Source organism: Homo sapiens, chromosome 13, assembly GCF_000001405.40.
Source record: "Homo sapiens chromosome 13, GRCh38.p14 Primary Assembly".
In the NCBI taxonomy this organism is placed as follows: domain Eukaryota; kingdom Metazoa; phylum Chordata; class Mammalia; order Primates; family Hominidae; genus Homo; species Homo sapiens.
Genome location: NC_000013.11, coordinates 51,791,880 through 51,802,967, shown reverse-complemented (window position 1 = coordinate 51,802,967; position 11,088 = coordinate 51,791,880). Strand labels below are relative to the sequence as shown.

Sequence of the window (11,088 nt, the reverse complement as noted above, 5' to 3'; positions counted from 1 at the left end):
TGAAAGCTTAAGTCAGTTTCCAACCAGGGGTGGGCCCCAAGGAAAGCAGACTGTAAAAATTTCTCCCAGGACTCTTTCGCTCTGATTTCCCCACCTTGAGGGAAGGTAGAAGTGAGGCCAAGGGGCCCAATCCACCACAGATTGGTGGGGGAAGGGAGGGGAGGGGAAGGCAGTTGGCAAAGTTAGATGGGTTTTCCTGCTGTTGTGGATTTAGTGAATAGGAGAGAAAAACAACAACCTTGTTTTGACTTCAGTGTGAGAGCGCGGAGTTAGAGTTTACAACGTTTCTCTTGGCACAAGGATTTTTATAAAGCCTCCCTATATTGGGCTCCTAAGGCAGGAGGATCTAATCACTGTTTCCTAAACTTTGCTGAACCTAATAATTCCCTGGGGCAGTTTTAAACAGACTCCTAAACCCTGGGCAAGTGTGGATGGGTCCTAAGCAAATTTCATATTTGGGTAAATTGAGGGTGTGGGGAGACACAGATACCTGCCAGCTTCCTCCTCCCCATCCCTGTCACCTCAGCTTCAGGAAACAGTAAGTACAAATGTCCTCTCAGCTTGAGTCAAAATCACTGGCAAGGCACATGAAACCACAGGTTGCCAAGCAATCACTTCTGAGTCAGTAGGCAGGGCATTTCCAACAGGTTTCCAGATGATGCTGATGCAGCTTGTCTGGGGACTGCCCTTTGGCACCGAGGCTGGGTGTTGAAGAAGATCACCTACCTTCTGGTGACCTTGGGAAAGTCGTGTGTGTGTGTGTGTGTGTGTGTGTGTGTGTGTGTGTGTGTGTGTGTGAAAAATAGAGACTGATATCTAGAGACTGATTTCTAGAGTGAAAATAAAATGCTTCCCCAATAAGGGGCAGAGTACATAAAAGACAAGTCTTATTAACAACAGATCGGACCAGGATGGAATTCTTGTATGGAAGGCAAGATCCAAGGCAGAGGACAGAGGGCGGGGACATGTCCTGCAGGCCAGGCTGGTACTGCCCGCTTGGCAGCACTCCCAGTCTGGAGTTTGAGGAAGAGGTTCAACCCAGAGGAGCCAGCCTCAGCAAACATTCGTCTCTAATACGGATCAGTGTGGAGCCCAGAGGCTAATGTCCCCTCTGACTGGGTATCACAGAGAAAAGCCTGTCAGCTTCCTGCCCCTGGAGAAGGGCTCTTCAGGCCTGTTCCCTGTGGACTGCTTTTTTTCTGGCTCTATTGTATTTGGGAAGTTCTCACTCATTCCCCACAATGCCTCCTCCTAGCTAAGCCCCTATTCATTGACTCAGGCCCTTGCCTCTACCGGAAAAGCCTTTCACAGAGATTCCAGGGCTCACGTCTGTGTTTAGGGGGAAAAAAATCTTCCAGTTTCCTCTTTGTAGTTTAAAATGCTCTCAAAGTCCCTACTGATTTGAAGGCTTGGGGGCCAAATGAGCTCAAGTGTGAACATGGACGGTACTGTCATTATTAATAGTGATAATAATAATGTCACCTGGGTGCGGTGGCTTATGCCTGTAATCCCAGCATTTTGGGAAGCCAAGGTGGGTGGATCACCTGAGGTCAGGTGTTCGAGACCAGCATGGCCAACATGGTGAAAACCCATCTCTACTAAAAAATACAAAAATTAGCCGGGTGTGGTGACGGGCGCTTATAACCCCAGCTACTCAGGAGGCTGAGACAGGAGAATCACTTGAACCCGGGAGGCGGAGGTTGCAGTGAGCCGAGATCGCGCCACTGCACTCCATCCTGGGCGACAGGGTGGGACTCTGTCTCAAAAAATAATAATGTCAGCTGCTAATTATTGAGCTCCTAATATGTTCCAAGTGCTGTCATAAGTGCCTTAGATGCGGCATCTCATTTAGGCTGCCCAAGAGGTATCTCTTATTATTCCCTTTCTGCAGATGAGGAGATAAGAGCTCAGAAAGGTTAAATCAACACACAAGATGGCACAGCTAGTAAGAGGCTGAGCTGTGACTTAAACCCAGGTTGTTCAAGCCCTTGTTACTGATATTTTTAAGTTTCAAGTCAACCTTTTTGGGAAGGCTTTGGAATAAGAAGTCTTGCTTGCCACTCACAGCAGAAGCAATGGGTAGGGTGTTCTCTAAGCTGCCCTGCATGTTCTGGTGAGTTACAGATGGTGAAAACAGGAACATTTTTCTTGTTCTCTTAAGAACATCTGGCTTGACTGAAACAAGTGGCAATGCCTGCCCCGTGGCAATGACTTTCAAACCAAACCCAAGCTCATAAACATCCTTTGGCCACTTCCCCGAGTTCCAGAGCATGTAACTGGCAGTTGTGCTGTACCAGGGCATGGGGCAGGAGGCCAGCTGTTGGCTACCCTTTTGTAAACAGGTCCTGTGGGAGGGCTCTCAGCATCTGTGGAGCCTTGAGATCAGAGTCCCATCCTGCATTGCCCAGGAGAAATCTCTCGGCTCCGTAGGTGAGAGATGTAAGCTCTGAGACCCCAGCCTGCCTGTGCGTGGGCAGAGTCTGCCCTCTGGGCCTCCACCTGCCAACCCCACCATTCTGCCACCACTGCCCTTAGCCAATTTCATAGCCAGGAAATACTAGAAGAGTAAAGGTAGAGAGGTATCGCAAAAGGAATGGGAAAAAGAAACAGTTAAAGAACTCACAATTGCATCTATCCAATATGATGCCTTTGTGCAAATCAGAAAAAATACCTCTTCTGCAATATGCTTTTCTGCCACCTGCCAGAACATTATCATAATGCAGATACAAATATCCCATCATTCTGATCCGAATGGCACTCCCTAGAGCTGTGCAGTGCACACCTTGTGTCCCTGAAGGAGCCTTGGCTTCCTCTGATGGGTGCAGAGCTTAAATAACTCTACCATCCTCCTCCTTTATTCCCTACTTGCAAATCTCCCCCGTTTCTCCAAGTAGGCAAGGATATCTGTCCTGCAATGCAATAAGCACAATGCAAATGGTCTCCTAAGCTTCCTGAAACCTGCCCCCCACAAAAGGGAAAAGAGCAATTCATCTGTCAAGGGATTTTTTTTCTTTTTGCCACTCCCCAGGATCGGGGCAGTCAGAGGAAGACAATTTGGATGCCAAAATGTTGGAATCTCCAATATTTTCAAAAGTTTGGAAAGATCATGGTCCAGGAAATGCAGGCCCCGAGATAGTGGTGTTTGTGAGAGCAGGGAGGGCAAGGGAGAAAGGAGTTTCGTGATGTGTTGGGAGAGGCGGAGACAGCAATAATGCCCATCCTAGAATTAGGCTTTCTCCTGCAGGGGTTTGTGTTCCCCACTCCTTACAGCTGGTCTTCCTGTGGGTCTCCTCTTTCTAGGAGTGGCTATGAATCTGCATGTAAAGACTTTGTCCCTCATGACTTGGAGGTCCAGATTCCTGGAAGAGTCTTTTTGGTCACTGGAGGAAACAGCGGCATTGGCAAAGCAACTGCCCTTGAAATCGCCAAGCGAGGTAAGCAGCTGCTAACACGTGTGTCCACTGAGCCCCACGGCCAGACTGCGGCCGGTCCACACTGAGGAGGGCACCCTGTGTCACAGGCAGGCCAGGAAGTCCTGGACGGCGATCCCATGGTTCTGGGCACAGCTGCCAGCTTTCTGAGTTTTGAGCTCCAGGTGGCTAGAGCAACAGGAGCCCTTTCCTCAACACTTAATTAATTCTCAGGCGAGCTTGGGGTCCTGCCCACGTGTCCCAGTGTTTTCTGATTAAGAACAGCGAGGGGCTCAAGCAAACCCTGGACATCAGAATCCCCAGTGGAATTTAATTAAAAAAACAAAAACAAAAACATGAACACCTGGTCTCTAACTCATGTCTTCTCAATGAGACTCTCCTGGGGTGAGAGACAAGGGGAGGGGGAGCCTCAAAGTCCACTGCAATTTGGATGTGGATGGTAGTTATGAACCAAGGCCCCCAAAATACCTGGAGAGAGGAGTGCATTGAACTAAACTTCCTCCTTGCTGGGGTCCAGCCTCCAGGGCTAGAGCAGCCTCCCGCTTCCCTCCCCTAAGCTTGACTATAAAGAGGTGCTTCAGGTGCACTGTAAAGTCTTCAGTCAGCAGAAGTCTTCCTCATGGTAAATGCCAGAATTTCCTGCATGAGCTCAACGATCCTGGGTCACCAAATGGCTCTGCAGTGGCTAGAAAAGTTTGCTGCATCTCTCCAGAGCCTCTTCAGGAAAAATGGATGTTCCAGCAGAAGGTGGGGAACTAGGTTGTGAATTTATCACTTTTTAAGATGCTGAAGATGTTTTCTTTTTTCCTCTCTCTAAATCCAAGTTAGGCATTTTTCAGGGGACTATTATATCATTTGAAGCTTTATTTAATTATCTGCCAAGTCAGGGAGAGGATTAATTGCATCTTAGCAGCTGGGAAGCACTCTGAAGTGCGGAGAGGAGGAGAGAAGAGGGGCTAGTGTTGTGGTTAGCCTGTAGCCTCCCATGAAACACCCCATTTAATCAAGTGGGTGATTTTTAGTAAAGAAAGCAGACTCCATAACGATTCGTTCTTAGCTGCCACGGCGAAGGCATTCTGCTTTAAATTGACCTTGATTGATGATGGTGTGGCATTTGCTGGGATAATATGAGGGCTGCTGATGGACTCAACATTCAGTCAATACTTGAGTCTCTACTACATGCTAGGCAAGTGGCTGTCTACTTTGGCTGAACATTACATCACCAGGGGAGCTTGTAAAACATACCCAGTCCTGGGCCTATCGCCTAGATCTTTAAAAGCTCCCTACATGAGTCTAAAGTGCAGCCAGGTTTAACACATCTGGGTCAGCTACTATGCTAGATGCTAGGGAGGCATATGTGACCCAGATCAATGTTTCTTATCCTTGATGTGTTCAGGCCCTCAAAAAATCAGGATGTTATTCCAGACGCACTGTCAGCACAGGTAGGCAATAAGGTTCCAGCACCTCCCTCACCATCGCCCTTGCTGCTCTTAACTCTGGGAACCACCCATCTAGGCTTAACAGAAGAGTGTCAACTGTGAGCCCATATGTCTTCATTTTTCATTAGGAAGAGCTGGTTTCTGTAGCTCTCGCTGTAACTCACAGATGGTTTCATTGAATTCCACCAGGTGGCACAGTTCACCTGGTTTGTCGAGATCAAGCCCCAGCAGAAGATGCCAGGGGTGAGATCATCCGGGAGAGCGGTAACCAGGTGAGCAGCTCCTCACCCCTCCTGCTGGGTTTCCTTGCCTCCATGGTCAGCTGTGAGGAGGCTGGACTCCTACCCGCTTTCCCTGGGTTGAAGAGGGCCTGTGTTTGTGCTTCTGCTTTGGAAGCAGCCTCGGCCAGCAGGGAGCTGGGCCCTGCTTTTGAATGGCTAGGTTTGACAAGGGGATAAGTGGGGGCACTGAGGCTTGACCGCATGGTCCTGAGCTGCCTGTGAAACCAGCAGAGGCCAGCAGGCAGAGGCCCATTACACTGGACAGTGATACTTCCAGTCTCCTCACCTCAGAGGGAGCCCACATCAGCAACACACAGCAAGGGTCACCCGGGTGCCACGGAGCCATGCATTGACCCGATGTGCTCTAATAAAGAGAAACACCGGCAGCATTTGGGTCTTGATGAGAGCTACTTTCTGACACGAGCCTTCAGAGCTGCCTCACATTTTGTGGTCTTTCTGTTCTGAAAGAGCTGGAACCAGGATTGGCTACATAATTAGTGGGGCTCGGTGCAAAATGAAAATGCAAGACCCTTGTGTAAAAGTTATTTAGAATTTCTACACAACAAAGGCAGGACATTAAACCAAGCTTGAGGCCTTTCCAGTCGCAGGGCGTGTGCAGCTGTATAGATCATATTCCCATGATCCATCGTGTAGCCATAAGGCTGCCCTGAATGGAAAACCCTGACCCCCAAAAGGACCCTCAGTCATGGCTGCTCGCTCACTGTCACTAAAGAACATCCTCATTCCATTCCTACCTCTTCTCTAGGAGACCCCACAATTGGAGGGCCTGTAGGAGGGAAGCTGGGGAGGGACAGACAGTACCCACCCTCAGGCATGGACCCTGGTCAAAGAGAAGAATGCCCCTCTCTAGGATGGAATATTTTGCATCAACTTTGAAATAACATTTTCACACCAAGTGTCTGTTCCTTTCCCTTTCTCATGGAAATCCCCAGTCTCATGCCATCAGGTGCCTTACAGAGGCTTAGTGCTGGCGGCAAGTGTGAGGGTCTCTAAATCTTCCTCTAATGTCTGCAAGTGCCGCTGCGATCTGCGGGCTGCAGTTCTCGAGATTGAAAGCTGGCTGTCTGCCTGCTGATAACTTTCGGTGGTGCTGCTGCAGGATGCAACAAGAATACTAATCTCAGGCCACGGACAGGAGGAGGTTTGCCTGGATTCCAGCCTGCTGTGGTGTGGGCCACAGGCTTTAAAAAGTATATTTAAATGAAAAATGATGATAATATGGATCTGTTTGGCTTATATCTAATTCCACCATGTTTAGGAGGGGTAGAGAGCTGAAAAGGGGAGCAAGCATGTTCCTGCACTGGGGAGAAAGCAAGCCCTTGCCTACTGCCCCCCTCACCTCCATACAGATACACTTGACGGGATTTGAATGCACACACAGGACATTCACTGCTCTCTCGGGTTTATAAGTGGCCTCCAGCACTCAGAGGTGGAGCGTCCAGGATGAGGGTACCTGTCTGCTTATGCCAGTGTCTGTGGTTTCCCTGACTCAGTGTCTCCTCCAGGCTCTGCCAGGGATCAGCTGTCCCTCCCTGCTTATGAAGAGGCCCCACTCCACAGCTTCATCTGGTCTACCTTTGGTAGGCAGCCCACACACAAAAGCGTGGTATGAAGGAGGGAGTTGGGCTCTGATACGAGTCCTGGTTTTGCACTTTCTGGCCTGTGAGCTTGGGCAAAGTTCTTAGCTTCCCTGAACATTCATTTCCTCATTAAAAAATAGGGGTAACTTGACTTTATTAGTTTTTTAACATGTATTTAAGGGTGAACCGTATGCCAAACAGCTGGAGACACAGTGATTGGGACAGACACAGCCCCAGACAGTCTTGTGCAGGATACAAGTGATTAACAGTTTCCTTGAAGTGTGTGTGCCTGCCCTGGGCCTGGCCGCCATGCTCTGTATCATAGTGGGGGTGGGTTGGGGGACAAATAGTATGAACCCCAAGGTATGTGTTTCTTCAGCTCCTACAACCAGACAGCTTTTGGCTGGGTTTGGCCAATGGCAGTTACTAGAGGAAGATTGCTAGGTGAAAGGAAGGGGGGAATTGAGATATTGGCTTCCCTGGTGATGGCGAATCTCCTCTCTGGTTCTTCCTTCTGGTTCCTGGGCTCAGGCCACACTGCATTCTCCCTTTGTTCCTTGAGCCTAGGGCTGGTGGTAGTTTCCTGTTGTTACTAATCTCTGGGTTACTTCACCAATCCTGGTTGAGTTCTCACCTTCCTTAATCACCTGGGAAATCAATCCCTGCGTTCAGTTCCCTCTGTTGAAAGAGGTGTCTGTTAGATGTTACTGAAATAACATGATAAGGGCTACAAGATGGGAAGCTCAGGGTATCCTAAGAACAAACAGCTCTCAATCAATAGAAGTAGCTACTATTATTATTGTTGGTATTATCATTATTGTTTATACTAATATTATTACCACTCCCAACCTTACATTCTCTGCTTCAAGTGTGTTCTGTTTAATCAGTGCTTAGGCCCTGCTCAGTGGGAGGTGGAAGCCTGCAAGCCCCCAGTAGCAGAAAAGATGTGTGGTAGAGCTGTGAGGGCAGTGGAGCAGCTGGTCCTGCGTGCATGGTTGGGTGAACATCAAAGAAAGAAGGTCCCTTGGGCAGGAGGGTCTGGGTGAGGTGTGCGGCAGGCCAGCTGAGCCAGGGAGCACAGGCACCAGGTAAGGCTCAAGGTCACGTGGGGATCTCAGCTGCTTGTACACGCTGGCTTGGTAAGATCAGGTGTTTGGCCATATAGAGAGGTGAATATCATGCTGAGGTGATCTTTCAGAGAGGTTATGTGTGGCTTAAGCTTGGGGAAAGGAGTACTGGTTACTGTAGAGCAGACTGCTGGCTCACCAGTCCACTGGACACGATGCTCCCAAAGGGCCTAGGGGAGAAACAGGGTGTACCTTTTTCCCCAGGCTTCTGGTTGCAGTTCAGCCCCACCTTAGTACCTGGCTCCAGACTTTCGTCTAGCAGTTATCTCCATGGGTAACATTAAAAAAAAAAAAAACTTCTATTTTATGTATTATTTTTTGAGATAGGCTCTCGGGATTTTTGAGATAGGCTATTTTTGAGATAGGCTTTCACAGTTGGGATTTGTCTGATGTCTTTCTGATGATTACACTGGAGTTATGGGTTTTAGAGGGAAAGATCACAGAGGGACAGGTGCCTGGGCAACATTTTTCAGTCCTGCAGGCCTCCTGATGTGGCTGGAAGGTTCTGTGAAAGCACTTATGTCTTATGGGTGATTGACTCCACCAACATCACACACCATGATAAAAAACGGGTTTCGACTCTCCAGCTCTTCCAGGCCAATGTGGATTTCTAGCTTCTTGAGAATGGTTGATTTAGCTTCCCAAGACCTCAGTGGTTTTATGAAATACCGCCTCATTTCTCCAGAATGATTTCTACTTAACAAAACACCTCCATGCACTGTTTACCGTGCTCATTGTGGGAACTGCTCTGATGGGGGGATCAGTCCCCATGATGTCACCTCATGACTCCTGGGTCACACAGCCGCTATAGATGGTGGCTTGTCTGCAGAAAGGGTCCCAGTTGAGTTTTGTTTTGTTCAATTTCAGTAACCATGCTTGTATCACAGTGGGGCCCAGTGGCTCCTAAGGTGAGCCTTCTCATTGTGTGGCTCCGCAGATTGGGACTTTTACACACATGCACCTGTTTCCAGTTCCTTCTCCTGGCCACAGCAGACTGCCAGCCTCTCCTTCTGGGTGCTTTGTGGCCTCCTGTTTTGCCTCAGAGGGACACAGATGATTTCCTTCCTCTTTTCTTGGTGCTTCATGTCACCAGCTCCGTGGCTGATTTGTCTAGGACAGTGATTCTCTCTTCCCTGCTATTGCCTCCTTTTCACTCTGAGACATCTCAGGCGCTTCCAGGAAGCTCAGATAACTTGTGGAACGTTTAAAGCAGAATTGCTTTTAGTTCACTTGAGTTTTGTTGCTGTTTTAACCTGGATTTTGTATACATGTTACACAGCGCTTTCTGGTAGGAGGGAGTTTTAGGGTGGTGGCAGACAAGGCCTCAAAATGGAAGGATTAGGTGTCTAGACTCAGTTTGCAGTCATTGGTACAGGCTCCTGGCTGACTCAGATATGACTCAGCAGCCTTGTTCGCTCTGGCTGGGTGAGGGCCTTCACAGACATTTTAAAAGAGAATAGCTCTGTACAGACAACATTTTTCCTATCCTTTGAAGGCAGAGGAATATTCAGTTGGGCCAGGCTTAAGCTGAATATGGTGTTCAACCTGACTAGACTTTCTGAGTCATGAAAATGTGGAGTTGCTTTGTCTCATTTGTCTCAGGTGAGAAAACAATATGTTTTAAGATGAGTAGAAATAAATTCGACTACAGCTTTGAGTTTTATAGCTTGATTAATGGGGAAACTCAGGCAGGGCACGGAACTTCTCTGCTTTGTCAAAGGAGTTGTGGCTCTTGCTCAGATCCTCGTCTGTAGGTTCAATACTTAGGTGCCCTCTGCCTTGGGTTAGTGATAAGTCACGTATGTCCACTGATGCTCAGAGAGGATGCCGTTGCATTCATTGGATGCTAAGAATGCAAGTTTGGACTTAGGTACTGGGTACAGAGAAAAAGGTTTAAACAGCCAAGATCCATTAGTCGACTACCATGCCTATGACTGTGTGTAATACCATAAGGAGAAACGGCACATTAGACAGGGTCCCTTACTCATGGAGTTCTAAGCCTGCTGGGGAGGTGGCTGTGTCCAGTGATAACCATGATACAAGGCAGAGATTGAAAAGTGTCATGAGCAAGGACTAAGGGTCACAGCAGAAGTTGTCATCTTATTTATGATGTGCCTGAGATACTGTCTGAAGAGCAAACTTTTGACCAAAAAAAAAAAAAGATCAGCAGCAGGAAACCCTGACATATCCATGCAAAGGTAAATTATGTAGTCATTAAAACGAATAGGGTGGATTCATATGTAACAAAATCATCTCCAAGACCTCTTGTAAGTCCTACAACTCAATAGCAAAACAAACAAACAACGACGTAACTTATAACCGGATTTGAAAATGGTCTAAAGACTTGAATAGACATTTCTCCAAAGAAGATACACAAATGGCCAACACAAGCTGGGCACGGTGGCTCATGCCCGTAATCCCAGAACTTTGGGAGGCCAAGGCAGACAGATCACTTGAGGTCAGGAGTTCAAGACCAGCCTGGCCAACATGATGAAACACCGTCTCTCCTAAAAATATAAAAATTAGCTGAGCATGGTGGCATGCACCTCTAGTCCCAGCTACTTGGGAGGCTGAGGCAGGAGAATCACTTGAACCTGGGAGGCGGAGGTTGCAGTGAGCCAAAATCATGCCACTGCACTCTAGCCTGGGCGACAGAGTGCAGTGGCACTCTTTTTCTCAAGAAAAAACAAACAAAAAACAAATGGCCAACACATATATGAAAAAATACTTTCAATGTCAGTAGTCGTCAGGGAAATGCAAATCAAAACTAGAGTGAAATATCACCTCACACCTCTCAGGATGCTATTGCTAAAAAAACAAAAAACAAAAAATGTTTGTTAGGTTATGGAGAAATTGGAACCCTTGCACACCATTTGTGGAAATGCAAAATGGTGCAGCCTCTATGGAAAACAGTATGGAGGTTCCTCAAAAAATTCAAAATAGAGCTACCATCTGACCCAGCAATTGCACTTCTGGGTACTTATCCAAGGGAATTGAAATCAGGATCCTGAAGAGCCATTAGCACCTTCACGTCCATTGCAGCATTATTCACAATAGCCAAGATGTGGAAACAACTTAAATGTCCATCGACAGAAGAATGGACAAAGAAAATGTGGTACATACCTACACACATTGGAATATCATTCAGCCTTAAAAGGAAAGAAATCCTGCAACGACATGGATGAACCTGGAGGAGCTAACCCAAGTTC

At 47.7% G+C, this 11,088-nt stretch overlaps 1 protein-coding gene across 40 annotated transcripts in view, besides 4 other annotated features; it reads left to right on the top strand.

The window, feature by feature from the left end:
• The window catches only part of DHRS12 (dehydrogenase/reductase 12), a 49,310-nt gene that overhangs the window by 1,196 nt on the left and 37,026 nt on the right, over positions 1-11,088 (top strand). For 24 of the 40 annotated variants that reach the window (XR_007063698.1, NR_165333.1, XR_007063697.1 and 21 more), the window contains exons 2-3: positions 3,301-3,434; positions 5,060-5,142. Coding sequence is in view for 33 of the 40 variants with exons in the window: in XM_047430637.1 (XP_047286593.1) it covers positions 3,301-3,434; positions 5,060-5,142 (217 nt within the window). In the remaining 7 variants the exon portion in view is untranslated. The remainder of the gene's footprint in view (positions 1-3,300; positions 3,435-5,059; positions 5,143-11,088) is intronic. The other 16 variants (NR_165332.1, NR_165330.1, XM_047430642.1 and 13 more) reach the window with 1 other exon arrangement.
• Positions 440-489: an enhancer, noted in NCBI's record as "active region_7781". NCBI's record gives its function as "activates an Ori minimal core promoter by ATAC-STARR-seq in GM12878 lymphoblastoid cells {active_cell/tissue: GM12878}" and the evidence as "EXISTENCE:reporter gene assay evidence [ECO:0000049][PMID:35858748]".
• Positions 5,237-5,316: an enhancer, noted in NCBI's record as "active region_7780". NCBI's record gives its function as "activates an Ori minimal core promoter by ATAC-STARR-seq in GM12878 lymphoblastoid cells {active_cell/tissue: GM12878}" and the evidence as "EXISTENCE:reporter gene assay evidence [ECO:0000049][PMID:35858748]".
• Positions 5,387-5,915: an enhancer, noted in NCBI's record as "H3K27ac-H3K4me1 hESC enhancer chr13:52371189-52371717 (GRCh37/hg19 assembly coordinates)". NCBI's record gives its function as "activates a minimal SCP1, AML or CMV promoter by ChIP-STARR-seq in naive H9 embryonic stem cells {active_cell/tissue: H9 hESC(naive)}" and the evidence as "EXISTENCE:reporter gene assay evidence [ECO:0000049][PMID:30033119]".
• Positions 8,821-9,180: an enhancer, noted in NCBI's record as "active region_7779". NCBI's record gives its function as "activates an Ori minimal core promoter by ATAC-STARR-seq in GM12878 lymphoblastoid cells {active_cell/tissue: GM12878}" and the evidence as "EXISTENCE:reporter gene assay evidence [ECO:0000049][PMID:35858748]".